The sequence below is a fragment of the Homo sapiens genome, chromosome 13, assembly GCF_000001405.40.
Source record: "Homo sapiens chromosome 13, GRCh38.p14 Primary Assembly".
In the NCBI taxonomy this organism is placed as follows: Eukaryota; Metazoa; Chordata; class Mammalia; order Primates; family Hominidae; genus Homo; species Homo sapiens.
In genome coordinates, this window is record NC_000013.11 from 22,237,880 (window position 1) to 22,258,998 (window position 21,119).

The 21,119-nt window shown below is 40.8% G+C and overlaps 1 long non-coding RNA gene across 1 annotated transcript in view, besides 1 other annotated feature; it reads left to right on the forward strand.

The window, feature by feature from the left end:
• Window positions 1-21,119, forward strand: part of LINC00540 (long intergenic non-protein coding RNA 540) — a 66,237-nt gene that overhangs the window by 27,595 nt on the left and 17,523 nt on the right. The gene's annotated exons all lie outside the window — the stretch shown is intronic.
• Window positions 2,373-2,873: an enhancer, noted in NCBI's record as "H3K4me1 hESC enhancer chr13:22814391-22814891 (GRCh37/hg19 assembly coordinates)". NCBI's record gives its function as "activates a minimal SCP1, AML or CMV promoter by ChIP-STARR-seq in primed H9 embryonic stem cells {active_cell/tissue: H9 hESC(primed)}" and the evidence as "EXISTENCE:reporter gene assay evidence [ECO:0000049][PMID:30033119]".

The following is a 21,119-nucleotide window of genomic DNA, read 5'->3' on the forward strand; positions in this document are numbered from 1 at the left end:
AAGTCAAACTTGCAGCATCTCACTTACTCCTCTCAGATGCAAAGCAAATCTATGGAACCTTCCCTCATGAAGTGTATTTGTCAGTCTTCATACACCTGTGGAGATAGATTATCTTTTGGTCTTATCTTTTAGTCTGGCTTTTGTTTTTTCTCAGAAAAATTAGATCCCTTTAAAAAGTAGAAAAGTTTATCTTCCACAAGTAGGTGCTCTCTACAGGCAGGGAAATGAGGTAGTTGACCTAGGCTTCATGGCAGCTGCTCAGGGACAGGGCATGTCCCCCAGCTGTACCTGATCAATGCACAGGACAGGATCCTGAACAAGCCTTCCTGGGCGCTGTCTTCATGGAGTTTACATTCCAGGAGGAAAGAAAGGCAACTAACAAGCAACTGAAGGAGTAAACAATGTCGAGCCATCATGGTGCTGGGAAAAAGGACAACTATGTGTATTTAATGTGTGTATGTATGTGTGTATGAGTATGCATGTGTGTGTGAGTGTGTGTGAGACTGTATATGAGTGTGTTAGTGTGTGAGCATGTGTATGACTGTGAGTGTGTGAGTGCGTGTGTGAAAATGAGTTTCTGTGTGTCAGTGCATGTGTGTGTGTGAGAGAGACTGAGTGTGAGAGTGTGTGAGTGTGTGTGAGTGTGTGGTTGGGGGTCGGTCATAGTGCTACTGTGGAGACTGCTTTCTGGAGTAAACCCGCCTCCCTTCACCTGGTGGCATAGTATGGCATTCATCTGAATGCTGCCACTTACTTGCTGTGTGATCTTGAGTAAGTTCCTTAATGTCTTTGTGCCTCAGTTTCCTCATCTACAAAATGGGGATAACGACAGTAACTGATTCATAGAGTCATTTTCTGAATTAAATGAGTTAATATGTAAAGTCCTTGGTCTAACACAGTGAGTGCCACAGACAAGTTAGCTAAGGAGATCATATTGAAATATAGCTATAATTTTTAAAAAACAAAATTTCCTATTTATTAAATGTATGTGGGTCATTTTAAGCTATTTCTGAACTACTCATTATTAAAATCGATTGCACTATGACGCAGTCAGCTTCAGAGGACTCTTGTTCCCTAAACTAAATGGCCTCAGGATTTGGCTTTATGCGCCAGTTTTTTACTTTCATCTTTTTCCCTCTGTTCACATGGTCAAACTCTGTCTCTTTTTATGTCTGCATGTCTTATTATGCCTGACTGTAGCAACCTAGAGTCCTTCTAATGTTCTGTTTCCATCTGTGAGATATGAGAACACATGTAACTGCATTGGCATTTAGAGGTAATATGAAGGATATGCGCTTGCAAAGAGGGCTGGAGAGACTGCACATCATTACGGACTTGGTTCTGCTGTCTCTGTTTCTTTTATTAAGAAACACCATCCACTTATATTTGGGTTCTCTTTTAGGTTCTGGTCATTCTACAGCAGTGGCTTTCCTGAAATGGTAACATGATTGTGTGAATGCAGTGCTTCCTGGGGCTCACAGGACTGTGGTGGGATTGGTGGCCATCCCTCACTGCATAAGCGGAGCCTTGAATTAGGAAAGTTGTGTTGCCCTCTTGAGAAGCATAGAACTTTAGAGCCAAATGAGCCAATTTTGTCTAATTCCATCCCCGTTATTCTCATAATGAAATGGGAAAAGTTCCCTTGTCCCCCAAAATCGAGGGGTCTTGACCAGCCCAGTTAGGGTGGAGTTTTTGAAACTCCGTGAAGGGAAATAGAGCCTCTTACCTGCAGGAAAGAGAAGTGGCAGGGTTTTGGAAGAGAGACAGGCCCGACAGTTTTGCATTCGTTCACATTCACCTCCCAGGATCACGGGCAAGGTCCCCAGTTGTAACAGGAAAAGTTCCCTTTTCCCCCTAGCAGTGTGTGCGACAGGGGAGTGGCTCACTTCTTCAGCACCCTGCTGCTCAAACCTCTAGGGGAGCATACAGAAGGGCAGGCTGTGGGGCTCCGACCCCATGGCAGTGTCTAGAGGTGAACTAGGGGTGAACGTTTACAGCTCCTGAACCCCAGTGGGTGTGTGTTACAGGGTGCTCTTGTAGTTTAGCTGTCCGTAGGCAGCTTGTGTTAACCAGCTCAGTTAGACCCTCTACCTTGTCACAAGGATAGAGGGCTTTCTCTATCCTGGGTTCTTGCCTTGGTGAACCAGAAGAATCAGATTCCACCTGGGCTTGGAGGATGAGTGCAAGGCTTTATTGAGTGGAGGTAGCTCGGGGGAAGTCAGAAGTGGGTAGAGTGGGAAGGTTTTCCCCGGGAGTCGGGCCACTCAGCTGCCTGGCCTCTCTTCTGACTGCCCCAGCCAAACGCTGCTAGTTCTGCGGTCAGTGGGCTGCCAGGGTGCTGCTGCCTGTCAGTCAGTGTGTTCCTCTTGACGTCCAGCTGCCTGTGTGTTCCTCTGCTGATGTGCTCTTCTAGACATCCAGCCACCTGTGTGTCTGCCTGCCAGGGTCTTGGGGGGTTTTATAGGCTGGATGGGGGTGTGGCAGCCCAGGGTGGTCTTGGGAAATGCAACATTTGAGCAGGAAATGCCTGTCCTCACCTAGGTCCATGGGGTTGGAGCCCTAGCCAGGGACCATGCCCTCCTCTACCCAGCACTCCCCTTCCTCACTTCTGAATCATTTAAAGGGACCACTCTTCCCTTCCCAGCACTTCTGTATCAATAAGAGAAATCCAAGCTTAATAATGGGGCAGGTGAGTTCTTCAAAGTCATGTAGCATCAAAATGCCAATAGCACCATGGCCTTCCGTTTCTGGGCTTCCCTGTCTCGCTGGAGCTGCTGGAGCAGTCATCTCACCTAACAGTTGAACCTAAAAGTTTTTCACACCCCACCCCCCGCAGCAAAATAAGCCCTGGCACTTGCCCAGTGGGCCCTCTGAGCTCCCAGAGCTGCCCCCACAGCCCCTGGGCTACCTCCTCCATCCCACCTTCCTGGTTTCTGAAACAGAAGATAAAACAAAAGAAGGAAAACAGTCTGTGGGTTTGGAGTTTAAATAAACAGGGAGGTTAACCAAAAGGCTGGTTTCAATAGATCAGAGGCAAAAGGGATTCCTACAGCTGGAGGCAATTAAATGAAACTAAAAAAAGGATTCTCACACTAACTACTAGACAAGTTCTAGAGACTGAAGGAAGCTTTTGTTGAAGTGGACAAATGCTCACTTTAGCTCAAGACTAAAACAAGCAGCCTTTTTCAGCATCCGTTTAGGGATGAGAGTTTTTCTTTCTTTCTTTTTTTTTTTTCCTAGTTGCCCCTCAGTCACTACAATTATGATAGTTCTTGGAAGAGATACTAACTCTCTTCATAGATCAAATGCTGCCCAATCCCAGCAGTATAGAGTTAGAAGTGACCTTACCATCAGTGGAATGCTGTTAAATATTAAACAACTGAATCTCCAAAAAAAATGAAAGAAAGGAAAAAGGCCTGGTGTGTAGCATTTGGAAATTTTTATGGTGTAAATACCCTACGATGGCTGATTTTAAGTAACCAGCATGAAGTCACTAGTCCACTGATGGTGAAGCTGGGAAGAAGGACTAAAGATCAGCTGCAATGCACAGGTACAAGCTCAGGACTCCACTGCTGACCATGTGAGAGTGATAGGAAATGCTCATGTGCCATTGTGGAGAGGGAAAATTTGGATATAAGCCTGTATACGTAGCATGACTTCAACCCATTCTATCTATCTATCTAATTATCTACTCACCATCTATCCATCATCCATCCATTATTTATGCATGTATCCTCCATCCATCCATCATCCATCCATTCCATCCATCATCCATCCATTCCATCCATCATTTATTCATTCATCCCCCATCCATCCATCCATCCATCCATCCACCCACCCATCCACTCATCTACTTACCTACCTACCTCATAGTCCTCAATTATAAAATTGTGTGGAACAGATAATAAGGTACTTTCCATTTTTAACTTTTTGTGATTCTACATATAATATTTCTTTTCACAGAATCACTTGATTCATGGATTAGCCGAGGAAGTTTATTTTTAATTTTGCAAATGCTTTCCTTTATTTATCCTTATGGTACTCATCACATCTCAAAATCTTAGCTATTTACTTCATATTGTGTTTTCCCTAGAAGGTGAGCTCCCTGAAGGCAGGGGCTTTGTTTGTTTTGGTCACTTCTGTATCTAGGATCTCAACGGGGCCTGGAGGATGGAGGAGCCCAGTAGGTGTGCATCGAAGGGCATGATCAAAAGTCTTCCTTATACACTTAAGGACATTGAGGCCTTAAGGAATGAAGTGACTTTCCAGAAGTCACAGAGCATATTTGTGGCAGAACCTAATATAGAACCTAAATCTTGCAATTCAGTTTTATTCTCTTTATTCTTTAGCTTACCTCACAAAAGACAGGGCCTACGAAGAAGTACATGTATATTTCTAGATTGCAAGTTGCAATTTGTGGAGATGAAGTAGAATAAAGAGAGTTAGTTGAGCAATCTACCTGCTCTTCTCCACTTACTCTCGGACCCTTTGCCTGAAGCCCTTTTCCCCTCAGCTAATTTTGGTCTCTGCTGGAAAGATGGGCATCACGGGCTTGCTTTACATTGTCATACTAATTTGTGGTCTGCATGTATCTCACTGGAGATGGAATCGGGGAAAATTTTATTGTTTTCCACTAGAGGAACCCTTCTTTTTAGGTCCCATATCATCAGAAGACCTGTTTTCTTTTTGTTGTTTTTGTTCTAGCTCCCAGTTCACTTCAGCATATATTGGTAACAGGTACTAATTTAGGCGCTGGAGATACAAACATGAATAATACAAGGCAGCTTATCTCCAGGAATGGATATTCTCTGGGGGGAACTGATGAAGAAAAGATATTATCAATGTAATGGTCGTAAGTGTAATGCAGAGGAAAATTCCAAAGCTGTAGGAGTCCAATAGAGAACACAGCACAGATATTGAGGGAGGGTTCTTTAAAAGAGACTGATTTGGGTAATCTCTAATTTATCTGATTAACAGTTTTCTCATTTCTAAAATAAATAGTGTTTGTGAATAATGAAAGCGTCTACCCATTTGTATAAGGTTCTACAAAAGCAATAGAGTTCATGGGCGAGCCAAGTCATCTCCAGCCTCCTTCCAGAGCCTGCAGTCAGATGGTAGACCAGATAGCCCTGCATGCCAGGTCCCACCTGATGCTACCTTGTAGTTGTGTCAAAAAATGGATGCCCTAATTTAATCAGCCATTAGTACTTGTGTACTTAATGGAAAAAAACAGCAGTGACATTAAACATCATTAAAACATCTCAGCCTGATTTTTAAAAAATTACTAGATAGAAATTCAACTGACTGAATCATCAACACTATTCAGTTACAATGAAGTTACTTTAGGCATGGGGTTGTTATAAAAAGTTACTGGTTTTCCAAATTATTGAGGGTCCGCAGTTTTAGGGTTTTAAATAAATAAGGGCTCACTGAAAAGAAACCTCCCTGTAGGTCAGTGTAGATTTTAATTAGCTGGTAGAGTCCAGCGTTAAACACCTTGAGAAACTGTCGTGGTGTAGCTTCCTTTCTCTATTGCTTTTGTTCCTTTGAACTGCAATGCAAACCCATGCACACAGAAAGTCAAGAAAAATAAGAGCAGTTTCTTGTTTCGGGAGTCATAAGTCATCTCAGGTAATGGTGAGGTAGGAAAACAGTTTTGGTCTCAGCCCACTGATAATGGATGGAAGTTACACCGGGTGTGATGGTTGCTCTATGTTTTAGCTGTTGACAATTGAAAGGGAACACATCAACATTTACTTATCTGACTTAATGAATGTTATCATGTGGAAAAGGTAAATCAATAACAGCCGAGATCAAACATACCAATCTCCTTTTGAACACACAATGCCCTCATTTATATAAATCTCAGCTGCTTGACGGGTGCCCATTTGAACACCCCTGGGCCAGCCTGGCTAAGAGGCCTTCCATCTTAGGGCGCTGGTGTCAGAATTTCAGGAACTTTTAAGCGTGGAAACTGATTTAAGAGCCGGCAAAGCTATAATTCCAGTGGTTTCCTAATTAACATGTGAGTGGAGAACTAGAGTGGCCATGGGTTATCTGAAGTGTTTAGTTCCTGCCTTCCTGCCCCGCCTCCCCAGAGCCCCAGACTCATTGAACAGAAAGGTTAGAAGTGGCCTACTGGTGACCCCAGGCAGGAACAGATTGTGATCTGCTTAATTAGGCTGCTGTCTTCATCTTACACCTCCAGTTTTAACACAGCTTTCCCCTGAGGGGATGTGGCTGCCGAGGTTGTGAACAGGTTTAAAGAGGGGATCTGAGAATGGCTGGGTGGGCTTCCAACTCTCAGAGTCCCCAGTAGTTGGTCCCCTCTGAACTCAGCGCTGCTCCATTTACCCTTCCTCCCGTCTTTTTCGCCCATTTCCTCTCCCTTGTCAGCCCTTCGTAGGGTGGAAGGGATTCAGCTGGGGGACCGCGGGCCTAGCCAGACCCAGCTGTGAGAAGCCACACAGGGGAGGCCATCTCACCATTTTCATTCTTGTCTCCGGCTTCTTGTTTCTGTTCCACTTCATCCCTCACCCGCAAATCCCACCCTCCAACCTGAATTTCCAAGCCTTGTGATTCTCACAGAAGCTCCTTTCTGGGTTGAGGTGGTTTTGAGCAGTAGAATACTCCGCTTTTCATTTTACTTGTGTTGAACAAAGTTTATGGGACTGAGCTGCTGGACTGGGATCCAGCAGATCAAACCAAATCAGAACGGAGTTGCTGGTGCTAAGTGGCACTCATCAAAGGGAACTTTGAAATGGGCCAGTTTTCCCCCAAACCAGAAGATTCCAGTCAACCTTTAGCCCTAAGGAGGTTAACTTTGAAATAAATGACCAGTTGCTTTTTGTTCTCTATGTCTGCTCTCCTCAGCTCTTTTCTGCTTATGAAGCTGAACTCCTCTGCTTCGTTCATTGGAACACCCATTCTGTTTTATAGAATGAGGTGTTGCTGGATTCCACAGTCACAAATCAAAGCCAATGAGCTCATTAAACTAAATCTGTTGTCATTTTGTCTTTTGACACTTACCTTCGTGTTGCTCTTCACTCTAAGGCCTTAAAATATATCCCAATACCCTTTTCACTGCTTTTCTTAAAGGTGTGTGTGTGTGTTATTGCTTTTGGTTTGATACATCTATCAGTTCAGTTTCCTTATATTAATACTTACATGGTTCTCGATTACCTCCAATTGCAACTGTAAGTGAGGGTTTTAAAATATTTTAAAACAAACAGAAAAAATCGAGTGCCTTAGAGTCTGAGGAAATCAGAAAGGCTATCTGTAGACCTTCCTGCCAGTTCACAGTCAAAGCCAGGCCCGTGGCTGCAGTTCTCTGGTGTCCTTGGAGGAGTGGGAGCACGGGGTGTGGTCAGTGGTTGCCTCTGTATTTCAGGCCTCAGGGGACTTGAGCCCATCTCCCAGCCCTTGTCAAAGGCTTTTCAGGCTTAAGAGCAGATTCTCAAAGTTTAGTATTCTTACATTAAAATATGAATGTAGGGACCAAATTCCATAGACATCAATTCAAGACATACGGAGTGAGGCCCCAAAATCTCTTAGAAGCCAGCACTAAATTCCGAGACCACATTGCTTTGGGAAACTAAAAGAGAAAATTGCTTCACCCTGTAAAAGTTTGGACACACTTAAGATGAGAATTCATTTATGATTTTTGTTACTCGGTATTTCGAATTCAGCCTTTTGAAATATAAACATAGCCTCAGGGAACAGTGTACACATATACTATCTGTCTGTCTGTCTGTCTGTCTGTCTGTCTGTCTATCATCTATCATGAACCTCTATCTATGTATCTATCTATCTATCTATCATCTATCTATCTATCTAGGTATCTGTGTATCCGTGTATGTACGTATCTACATAGGTATCTGTGAATGTATGTATCTACATATGTATCTACGTATGTATGTATGTATGTATCTATCTATCTCCCTCTTTACAAATAGCTGTTGATCAAATAATAACAGCATTGTTAAAAAGTCAGCCTCAGGGCCTCAGGATGCCCTCTTAGAATCTGTAAGTGTATGAAGCAGATCTGTAGGCTCTGTTGCTGCTAGTACATTATATTTCGCAGTGTAGTAGTAACTTTGGCAAGACCTATTTATTGGATGAGAGGGAACAATGATTGATGTGGGGACAGCATGTGAGTGAGGCATTCTCACTTTGTCACTGGACTCTTTTAGTGGTCCCTATCATTGTGAGAGATGCAGGATCCCTGCCCCAGTTCGGGCAGAGCAGCCTTCCCTCTCCTCCCACCAGCTCCCTGCTGCTACCCGGCTCTGCACACCCTGGCAGAGCACAGGCAGTGTTGACTGGAGTCTCTGCCATCCCTACCTGTCAATTCTCCAGCAGAGTCCTTAAAGGTAGGTTATATCCCCAGCTCCTAGTGGGGGGCCTAGCAATTAGTACATGTTCAATGAGAATTTGTGAAAGAATGTGTTTATTGAAGGGAGTCTAAATGTACCAGAATTTATATGAGGGAGTCGAAATGTACCAGAATATACCCCTTCTCTGCTTATAGACCTCAACTCCTAGGTGTCTGAGTCAGCTCAGGCTGCCATCAGAAAGGACAATAGACCAAGTGGCTTACACAGCAAACATTTATTTGTCCTAGTCCTGGAGGCTAGAAATCTGAGATCTGGGTGCCAACATGGCTGATCTCCGGTGAGGACTCTCTTCCAGATTGCAGGCTGCCATCTTCACATTCTGTCCCCACGTGGCCAAAAGAGAGTGCGAGAGCTCTCCCGAGCCTGCTTCCTAAGGGCAAGGATCCCATTCATGATGGGATCCGCCTCTTAATATCATGTATTGGGGGTTAGGATTTCAACACATGAATTTGGGGGGGAAACAAATATTCAATCCATAATACCAGGGATCCCTGTTTCATCTAAAATGCCGTATAATGAAAACTCAACTCACAAGTATTATTCATGGAATTGTTGGTTAAGTAGAAGGCATAGATAACTCTGAGGTATTCCTCAATCAGCCCTCGAGCCAAGATGAGTGGGAGATTTCACCAGTGAAAGCCATATTAAGTTGAATCAATGAGATCTAGAGTCCAAGTCCTGGATGGTACATAACTTATTTTGTAGGGACTAAGGCCATTCGAAATGGCTTCCTGTTCTTGTCTAGGTAGATGAACAAAGTACTCCAGAAGTCTTTTCTTAGTTTACTCTTCAATCCCTAGGGTTCACAATGTCATGTTATACTTTCATAAAAGAAGGAGGCATGCTTTACTGCTGGTGTGTGTGGTGTGGGTAGGAAATCATTCTTGCCTTCTAGACAGTGTTGGTTTAGGAGAAAAAGCTGAGTCTTGATCCACTTAGATGGCAAGCACAGTGAATTAGAGAGATTTCTGCATAAAGAGAATATTTCTGAAGTCCTTTTTTCATGCAATAATAATCTCTTATGTGGTATATTACAGCAGGATTCTAGTTTTACTAGAATTCTTACACTGAGATTCTGAGACTATTCTGTAATACTTCCTTCTAGGATCATTAGTGATGGAGAGGGCAATCTTTAAGACTACTTGTTTCTTAAAATTACAGGTGAGGATTACAAATCAGCAAACCTCTCCAAATAATGAAATACTCATCACCTTTTCTTTATGCCTTATAAGCTCTCGCAGTTTAAATGAGTTAGCAAGGCTCTCATGTACGTCCACACAGGTCGTGGTTGCACTAATCCAGGGAGCACCATCATATAGACATCAATTGCAAACGGTACCTCTGGTGGTTGTTCGTTGCACAGTCTGTACTGACATCAATAATAGCACTGTTTTTTGGCATCTGTCACCCTTATGGAGTAGAGACCATAGATTTTGGAACATCTATTTTCTAACAAAGGCACCTAGCCCATGACAGCACTCGCAGTTCACCCTTATCTCCCTGCCCCACGCTAATGTCCAAGACTGGCCAATTAACTGATCACCTGTAACCTCTGTGTTGAGTCAGACTTTCAGAGTCACCTTCCCTTTGCTTCCCTTTGTCCCTCCTGATGTATTCTTAGGCCTTGTCTTTCATGACCAGGAGGCTGGCCTGTCAGACTGCATCCCCTGTGCTCCTCTGGTGTTTGGCTTCTGGCTGGGTTTAGTCAAACAGAAACACTGGCAGGCGAATGGGGAACAGATGAGAGAGTTTGGGGTATTCACTTCTGCTGCGCTTTCGCCAGGCTGTCGTTTTGGTAGTGATGTGCCTTCTCAAGCTGTCATCACAGTTCCTACAGGGCAGCCCCTTTCCAGGGCTACAGCCCTTGCACGACTTGAAACATTACCTTCTCCCCTTCCCTGACGGTCCCAGGTGGCAGTGGCTTTCTACTGACATTGTCCCTAGATCCCTCACCATCCCTTGCTGCTTCTTTTACAACTACAAATAGGACATTTCTAAAGCTCCTCAGTCTCCCCTTTGAGAGTGGGGCTGTCTGTTTTGTTCTGGAGTCACGACTGATACAATCTGCTGTTTCCTTTTGCTTCTTCTTACCCCCGACATCCTGGATGTTGATCTCACCAAAATCAGATCTCCTATCATAATTTCCCTTTGGGTATCCTGGCCATTGTCTATTGCCCTCTGAGCCAGCTTTATGACCAAATTAGTCCTCCTTACTCCACAGTTACTCACACTTTAAAACCTTTAAAACGTTTGAAGTGGAGGTTTTAGAACATTCTCCACTGCTATGATTTCCGCACATTTGCTACCAAGGTTTCCAAAGATTTAGATCAATTCTTGTTAGTACTTCATCAAAGTCTTTTACTAGAGTGTAAACTCCATGAATGGAGAGATTGTAAACGCATCTTCGTGTTCTCCATAGTACTTAGAAGAAAGCTTTTTATGTTAAGATTGCTCACTAGATTTTCATTGGTGTAAGTGGCATTTGGGCACAGTACTGACAAATATGGTGCATCCGACATTAGACGTTATGATATGCATCTTTAAAAAATATTGATTCAAATGGAATTATACTACATACACTTGCTTGTCTGCACCCATTTTCATTTAACAATATACGTATGTATCTGAAAGCTGTCCATATCATTATGGAATTATTGGTCTTTTTATTATTTTATTAATCTTTGTTTGAAATGTGATATTTTATATATAGTTTTTGAAAATCTATCTTTAATAATAAAGAATTTCAGCATACAGAAAGAGCTGAGAATAAGATAAGAAACTTTCATCCAGATTATAAGTAGAAACATTTTGACCCTTTTGATTCACATCTCTTTCTTTTTGAATAAAGGAAAAGACATTTGCCATGCTCTTTGTACCCTTCCCCATCCCACTCCTTGCTTCCTTTTCTCCCTTCTTCCTCCCTCTCCAGAAATATTCACTGCAGTAGTTCCCCTTATCCATAGTTTTGCTTTCTGCAGTTTCAGTTACCTGCAGTAAGCCTCAGCCTGAAAATATTAAATAAAAATTCTAGAAATAAATAATTCATAAGTATTAATTCACTCACATTTCTGAGTAGTGTGATGTAATCTTGTGCCACCCAGACGTAAATCATTCCTTTGCCCAGTAGACTCACTTAGTAGCTGTCTTGGTCATCATATCAACTGTTTCAGTATCCCAGGGCTTATGTTCAATGGCCCCAAGCTCAAGAGTAGTGATGCTGGCATATCATCATGATTGTTCTATTTTATTATAAGTTATTGTTGATCTCTTACTGTGCCTAATTTATAAATCAAAGTTTAACACAGGTATGTATGCACAGAAAAACACATAGTGTGTATAGGGTTCGGTAGCGATAGGGACAGAAGGCAGGGAAATTCTGGGCAGAAGAGGGTAGGTCCCCAGCGAGAGCCCCACCCTCAAGCCTGGAGCTGTGGCCCAAAGTGAGAACATACATCCTTGTTTTCCTGTTCAAATGTTGCCTTTTCAAGAACCACCCATGGCCCGCCCCATCCCCTTTCCTGTGCCCATAAAAACTCCAGGCTGAACTGGCAGAGAGAGGAGATGTAGCTGGATGTCGGAGACTATGGTTAGACATTGGAGAAAAGTGGCTTAACTTCAGAGGGATGGCTTGACAGCATATCTTTAAAGGGAAGTCTGGCTGCAGATGGCCCGACTTCAGGGAAGATTACTTTCTCGCTCCATCCCCTTTTCAGCTCCCCTTCCCACTGAGAGCCACTTTAATCACAATAAAAACCCCCACATTTACTGTCTTCAAGTTGTTTGTGCAACTTCATTCCTCCTGGATGCACGACAAGAACTCAGGTGCTGGTGCAAAATGCAAAAGGCTGTCACACTGACCCTCCACTGAGCTGTTAATACATAAACCATCTGCAGATGGCAAAGCTACAAGGGCAGTGTAACACTTTTTCTGGGGCTTCAAGGGTTGTGGGCACCCTCCCCTAGATGCTGTTGCAGGGCTGGCATGGAGTTCACTCTTGCTGGCATCCAAAAGTGCTCGCCCCAGCTCTTGCACTTGCTCCCCTGCACTCCGCCTCCTGTGAGAGGTGAAGCAGCGAGTTAGTGGAGTTTGCCCCTGCTGGTGCCTGTGCACTCCAGATCCTGCCTGTGAAGGGGTCAGGGACATTTCCTACTTCAGTACTATCCACGATTTTAGGCATCCACTGGGGGTCTTGGAACATATCCCCCACTGATAAGGAAGGGGGGACAACTGCATTCTGAAGTTAGTGGAATCCTTCTCACTCATGAACTTATACTCATCCTACGTACCAATATGTCCACACACAGTACAACAGTGCTATTTTTGTTTTTAAAATGATCACAAACTCTATTGTCAACTCTCTTTTAACAGTTTTAAACATTTTATTTGTTAATACTTTAAAATTTAAAGAAAAGTTACATGAATAGTATAATTCTCTTATATACTTAATCTAGATTCACTGATTTTTAATATTTTGCCACATGAATTTATGATTTCCTTTCATATACACTCATACACACATATTCATCCCCCCATATGCAATTTTTGAAGCTTTTGAGAATAGATTATATACATTATGTCCCTTGACCTTACTGTTTATTTTGTAATGTACAAGAATAAGTGTCTTATCAAATTTAGAAAATTTAGTATTGATATATTTTTTCTAATCTACTGTTTCTATACCAACATTTGTCCCAACAATGTCTCTTATAACAGCTTTTGCTAAGACTCAGTGTAGCCCAAGATTATGCACCAAATTTAATAATCATATCTCTTTATCTGGAATATTCCTCGGTTATTTGTTGTCTTTTATTATGTTTGCATTTTTTTTAAGCACGTAGGTCACTCATTTCATCAGAAGTCTCTAAATTGGAATTCTCTTGAATTTCCTTATGATTATATTCAGCTTTTTGTCTGCAATACCATTTGTTATGATTACTAATAGATCAAGACTTCTGTGTATCTATTTTTATACACCAAACCTTTTCTTTGATTTTTGTTTTATTATTTAACATTCTTTATTGGATAATTGGATTTACATCATTCCTCTTTTTATCTGTATTGGTATAGACTTTCCCTTTGTATTCTTTTAGTAGTTACCTTTGAATTTTAAATGTAATGCAACTTAAAGACTTCACATCTTAATATTGCTGTCTCGTATTCTTATTCTTTTAACAAATGCCTTTAACTTAGTCATTTGCAGGGTAAAATACATAATGTGCACTCCTAATGTTTTCTTTGAGGGCAGGAACATAGACTTGTCACAGCTTTGGCCTGTCTTCACCCCTTTATCTGTCCATCCCAGGTGCGGAGGCAACGCTTTCCTCACGGATGAGCTCTGGAGAGGAAGTGAGCACAGAAAGCAGTTTCTTCCCTTCTTCTTTCTCATTGGGAGCTGGCTGCTCCTCCGCGTTTATTTACATGGGAAGCAGTGCTTGTCGCCGTGAATGAGTACAATTCTGCGGTTCAGTATGAAGAAGCCCACTGTTGCCACTATCTTACTTTCTCAAATATCAGCTTGTTAAGCAAGGAAGGCAATATTTGATATTCGATTGCTAATGCTTTTGTCTTATTTGTTAACAAGTTCAATAGTTAGGTGCAAGAGGTGCACATAATTTACTGAGCATCCTCCAACCCCACTTAATAGTCATTATTATTATCTTTACTAACCATAGTAACTTACTAACTTACTTTGATATATGAACATGTTTTTTTGTTTCTGTTTTTGTTTTTTTTGAGACAGTCTCGCTCTGTCTCCCAGGCTGGAGTGCAGTGGCACAATCGTGGCTCACCGCAAGCTCCACCTCCCAGGTTCATGCCATTCTCCTGCCTCAGCCTCTCCAGTAGCTGGGACTACAGGCACCCGCCACCACGCCCGGCTAACTTTTTGTATTTTCAGTAGAGACAGGGTTTCACCGTGTTAGCCAGGATGGTCTCAATCTCCTGACCTCATCATCTGCCCGCCTCGGCCTCCCAAAGTGCTGGGATTACAGGCGTTAGCCACCACGCCCAGCCTGTTTTCTTTGTTTTATTACTATTATTTTGCTTCTTTTTGCTTTTTAAATCCTAATGATGGCAGCAGCTGCCCATCTAGAGCCATGGCTGCCAAGACACAGGCTTCAGGGGGGATGCATGCCTGGGGCTATAATGCTCCATGGTGCAAGCAGTGGCCCTGCCCCTCTGGGCTGCGCCTCCCGCTCCGGGTGACACAGCAGCCGCCCTGCCATGGCTCCAGACACCGTCATCTCTGTGCTCTTGCGGGGCCAGGAAGACTCCTCCCCGCCACAAATCCCTGCAGGCTCAGAAGTGCCTGCTGCCGCTGCCTGGCTTTTCCCTGCTGTTGCTGTTGGTGCCTGCTCCAGTCTCAAAGGCACCCCCAGGGCTGCATGCTCTGTAGAGAGCCAGCGACTGCCAGGGTACAAGTGGGAGCCCCGCCCCTTCAGAGTTGGTGGGGCTGGCCCTTCCCTAGTGCAGCTTTAATCATCCTCCCAGGCCCAGGAAGCAGAGGAATAGTTTGTGAAAAAGCAAGAATGTCATTACTAGGTAGCTCAAGGTCGCTGCACCATTGGTGCGTAGGCAAGGGTGGGGAGTGGGGTGAGGAAAGAAACATGGAAGGGCAGAGGTCAGATTATGTGGGAATTGATGTGGGCTTTTTGTTTGTTTGTCCCACACTGTTGCCCAGCCTGGAGTGCAGTGGCGCCATTTCGGCTCAATGCAAACTCTGCCTCCTGGGTTCAGGTGGTTCTCCTGCCTCAGCCTCCCTGAATAGCCAGTAGCTGGGATTATGGGCATGCACCACCATGCCCAGCTATTTTTTGTATTTTTAGTAGAGACGGGGTTTCACCTTGTTGGCCAGGCTGGTCCCGAACTCCTGACCTCGAGTGATCACCCACCTCAGCCTCCCAAAGTGTTAGAATTACAGCCATGAGCCACTGCACCTGGCCTAATATGTTATATAAGGATTATGGAGTCTATCCTGAAAAGGGTGAGGAACAACTGGAGTATTTCAGGTAGAGGGTAAAATGATGAGGTTGCAATTTAGGAAATGTAAGCAATCAGAATATCATGGCGGAGGTGAGGCAGCACTTGAAGTAGGGTGTGGGTGGGGAATCCATCATAATACTCCAAGTCTGAGACAACAGGAATGGAAGTGTGAGGAATAAAGAAAACAGCAGAGTGGTGTTTTAAAGATTGAGAGACATGACTGTGTAGTCAGTTCACAATAAATGTGGCAAAACGGATCAGTGGGATAATTAGAATTATGAAATCATTCATGCAGAACTGATTTTGTGACACCATGTGTATTTCGTTTTGATTCACTGATAGCCTGAGTTGGAGCCGAACCTATTTGAGTTTTGTAGCTATAGTACATTGGTTTCTGTCTGTGTAGCTGCTTACATTATTTGGGTAATTTTTTAATCTTAGGATGTTGGAATGGAGGTCAAACTTTATTCTTTGTGGCATATGTCCTATGTGCAGGATTCTTAATCTCTATCCCTAATCTTTACAATACCCTCTATAGTATATGCCAAGAAATGTAACCAGAGGCCTTTATGGTCTAGGAATTTCATTTTTTTTATTATGTCGTATGAGAACCTATAATTACAAAATATCTTTTATATCACTAACTTCTGAATTAAGAACTTAGTAAAAAGTTAAAATATAAGTTCCACTCACATAGAGCAAACATTCTCATGAATGGCACTTAAGATTTTATTTCTTTTATTTGTTTCTAGCTTTTGAATTGTATCAATAGCCTTAGGCTTGTTTAATAATATGCATACATAGCTGTATAATATAGAACAATTAGAATGGGCTTCAGGTTCTTGAAAGCACTTAGAGACACAGACAGCCACAGAATGAATCCATGGGCTGTTCTACTCTTCATTTTCCATCAAGCTTGTTGACCTTAGTCTTTTGACATAATGTATTGTGGCTAAGGTTTCGGACACTTGAACTTCTCTAATCATAAAATCGTGGAGATGGTTTAGTTCTCATCACTTTTATCTAAACATGATATAATACATGGGAAGGTTTTTTGATCTTTTTATCACTCCGTGTGTAGAAACAGCTAAGTGTTTGCAGACCACTGTCTTCTTTCTTAGGGTAGATGTTCAGCCTTCTCCGCTGTGCCAAGGACATGAATAGGTATATAGAGTCCTATGCACAAAGCTGCTTTCTTAACTTTAAATATTTTTCAAAATCTATCTTCTTCATATTGCAAAAAAAAAAAAAAAAAAAAATCAAATGTGGTAGAAATTCCTGATTTCTCCAAACACTGACAATTTTATTAGACTTTTTACCACATCAAAATTGAAAAATGATACTTAAGAGAAAGGAAACAGCCATTCATTCATTGCTCACGTCTTCATTGCGTGTTAACTCTGGACAGTGATGTTCTCAGCTTTGGGGAAATAAGGATAAAAACGTGTCACTTCTGCCTTTAAGGATTTTGATGTCTACTGGGAGAGAAAAACGTTGCTTAACTGGAGCATAGTAAGTACTACAGAAGAGGCAGAAAAAAGGGAAAGTAGGAGCAACGGTTAGGACTAAAATTAAAATGTTGAGAACAAATTATATCAAGTTATAAGTTACGCGCATGTGATGACAGCATAAATTATATTAGATAAGGGCTATAGACACTATTATCATTTGATAATAAATGGGGATGTTGGCTCATTTCAGAAAGCCTTTGGGATATGATACACTGATACGTTAATACCAATAGTAATAAGAATAAAATTATTAATTGTGGGAAGCTATTATGGGCCAGGCACTTTTATGGATGTGTTACATGTGATCCAAGAAATAAAACCACATGTAGAGCATTGTGGCTCATGAAAAGGATGTGGAATCAGATGTCCTAGGTTCAAATCCCAGTTCTATCCAAATTGCCCATTTGGCCATATTCAAGTTACCTTTCTCCAAGGGTTTTTTTTCCCATGGAGAGAATGTCAATAACTTACTCGTTCAAGGGTAATTATGAGAAAATGAGTTAATTGATTTAACACAGTGAATTAACATTAACAAGGTGTGTTATTATCATCATCATCATCATCATCATCATCATCATTATTATTACTTGAGACAGAATCTTGATCTGTCACCCAGGCTGGAGTGCAGTGCAACCTCTGCCTTCCGGGTTCAAGCGATTCTCCTGCCTCAGCCTCCCGAGTAGCTGGGATTATAGGCGCCCGCCACCACGCCTGGCTAATTTTTTTATTTTTAGTAGAGACAAGGTTTCACCATGTTGGCCAGGCTGGTCTTGAACTCCTGACCTCAAGTAATCCACCTGCTTCAGCCTCTCGAAGTGCTAGGATTACAGGCGTGAGCCACAGCGCCTGGCCTATTTTTTATTTTTATTTTTTTGTTGTTGTTGTTGAGACCGAGTCTCGCTCTGTCTCCCACTGGCCTATTATTTTTTTGACACTTGAAACATCTCTGATTTAGAGTTCATGTAACTTTCCAAATACCACAGGCATGGTTAGCCCAAAACAGGTTCGGCACACATTTGCGTTCTCCAAAGCCTGTGTTCTTTTAACCCTGTACTGTGTGTGTGTGTCTGTGTATATACTATTTTATATGTATAAAATATATTTATATATGTATATTTATATATATTTATATATATGAAATAGTATCTATATATTTATGATGTATATCATATATACATCTTAAAAACTTCCAACCTCAACTACCATGATATTTAGAAATAAAAGGTGACTTCCTCTTTTTAGATTACAACTTTGTCTGTGCTTCTAATATGACTAAGTTTAGCATTAATTAAATGACATAATTTTATGTAGTATTAAAAGTTGGCATGTCTAAATTATTCCGTTTAATTGATATCAGATTAGAATTTGAAAACTTTATGCTACAATTTAGATGTATAAATATTGATCCACTCAGACATAAAAAAGTTCTCTTTATTACCAGCTGCATGAGTGATGCTATCTTTAATTTTACTAGTTGTGGAACAATTTGGAGAATGTGATATTATAGCTGAATAGTGAAACTAATATTTAAGTAATGCTGACACAGCAAAATCAAAACAAAACAAGTCTCTATGTTATTCTCTTTGCTGTCATCATTAAAATCAGTACATTAATAAGGGAGAACTTGGCAGCTGGGGCAGCAGGCAGGTTGGCAGCCACAAGGGGGTGTTCCTCATGCTGCAAAGTTTACAAATTTTTTTTCCAACTACATATGCCTCATTTTTCTTGGAATTCTGTTCTTTTACTTGAATATGCAATCTCATGGTACCAACCCAATGCATCAAAACACTAGCAATTTCTGATATACTTTGGGGAAGGCAATCACGTGTCTATTTCATCGCATGCCACCACAATATTCTTCCATGATGGAAGATGTTTTCAGACTTCCTTTTTCAATTTTTTTCTTCGTATTTTAATTTTCAGACATTCTTTTTTTATTTTCATCTGATAGCTCATGCATGGATACTCTGAGAGAGGATGCATGTAATTCAAAGATACACTAAAGTAATAAATACATTTCTGTGTGTCATTTTTCCATGTGGTAGTAGATGGAAACTTCTGTCTATATGGAGAGCTAAAGATCCTAGCTCACATCAAAATGTTACTTAGAAATGCACACCATGGCCTCCTTTTGCTTCTGTTTATCTTTCATATTACAAAGTAGAAGAAAGATGATAATTGGATACTGCTATTTATGGCCACTGAATCCACATCATTTTTAGGAGCTAGGTCACCTAACATTTCGTCCTGATTTGTTTTCTGTTTTAAATTTCTTTGATTTCTGCTCTTAACTTTATTATTTTTCTCCTTCTGCTTGCCTCAGGTTTCTGTTGTTCTTTTTCTAGGTCCTTGAAGTAGGAGGTTAGATTATGTATTTGAATTTTTCCTCTTTACTGTTATAAACATTTAATTTCCTAAGGTTTTCTCTCAGCATTGCTTTAGGTGTGTCTTATAAATTTTGACATGTTGTGTTTTTATTTTTATTCAAGTATGTAAATAAATATATATATATATTTAATTTTGTTTGAGGCTTCCTTTGTGACCCATGGATTATTAGATATATATATTTCCAAATGTCTGGAGGTTTTTCTGTTATCTTTCCATTATTGATTTCTAGTTTGATTCCACAGGGGCCATAGAACACAATCTGTATGATTTCAGTTCTTTTAAATTTGTTGAGGTTTGTTTAATGGCCCAGAAGATGGTCTCTCATGGGTTAAGGTTCTGTAAGTGTAAAAAATGTTTCTGATTGGAGTATTCTATAAATGTTGGTTAGACTCTGTTGGGTGATGTGTTTTGAGTTCTTATAGATCCTGGCTGCTTTTCTCTCCAGTTGTTTTATCATTGTTGAGAGAGGGATGTTGAAGTTTTCAACTTTAATTGTGAGTTTGTCTATTTCTCCTTTTAGTTCTGTTTTTGCCTCACATATTTTGCAGCTGTGTTGTTTCATTTATACACATTTAGAATTCGTATGTTTTGGTGGATTTACCCTTTTATCATTATGTAATATTCTTGTATGTCTCTGGTAATTTTCTTTTCTCCACAGTCTACTTTACTTGATGTTAATATAGCTACTCTTAATTTCTTTAGATTAATGGTTGCATAATATATTTTCCCCATCTTTTTACTTTTAGGCTACTCCTATCATTATATTTGACCTTAGTTTCTTATACACAACGTATAGTTTGGTCATGTTTTCAAATTCACTATGCCAGTCTCTGTTACTGAATTGATGTGTTTGGACCATTTACATTTAATATGATTAATGATATGTTAAGGCTTAAGTCTGATATTTTATTTCTGTTTTCTGTTTGTTCTGTCTTGTTTTGACTTCTCTGTTTTCATACATTCCTGTGGGTCACTTGAACACATTTTAGAGTAACATTTTGATTTGTCTGTAGTGTTTTTAAGTATCTCGTATAGCTATTTTAGTAGTTTTCCTAGATATTACATTATATGTACATAATTTATTACAGCCTACTGGTCTTGATATTTTACCAGTTAAAGTGAAGTATAGAATCCTTGCTTCTCTTTACATTTCTTTACCTTCTCCCATTCATAATAAAATTGTTGTAAATATTTTGTCTCCACATATTTAGAACTACATTAGAGAATATTATATTTTTTAAACCCTCAAACATAATTTAGAAACTTAAGAGGAAAAGGAAAACGTATTTGCTTATACTTAACTTTCCTTTGTTCTCTTCTCTTTTTCAAAGTTCCAAGATTCTTTCTGTTATGATTTCTTTTTAGAGAATTTTTATTAGCAACAATTTTTTTTTAAGATAGATCTGTTGGCAGCAAATTCTATTACTTTTTCTTCCTCAGAAGATGTCTTGGTTTCTTGTTCATTACTGAAGGATATTTTTCACTGGATATAGATTCTTCATTTGACAGTTCTCTTTCAGCACTTGAGAAGTAGGTTACTTCCTTATGGGCTCCATGATTTCTAATGAAAAAATATGCCGTCATTTAAATTATTTTTTTCAATATAGATAATTGCTTATTTCTATCTTGCTTTTTTCAAGACTTTTTCTTCGTCTTCAGTGTTCAAAAATTTGACTATGCTATGTCTTGGGGTGGACTTCTTCAGAGTTTTTCTGTTTGGATTTCTCTTAGATTCTTAAACATGTAGGTTTAGGTCTTTTGCCAAATTTGGGACATTTCAGCCATTATTTCTTTGAGTACTTGTGAGCTTCACTCTATTTCCCCTCTCCTTCCAAGGTCTCA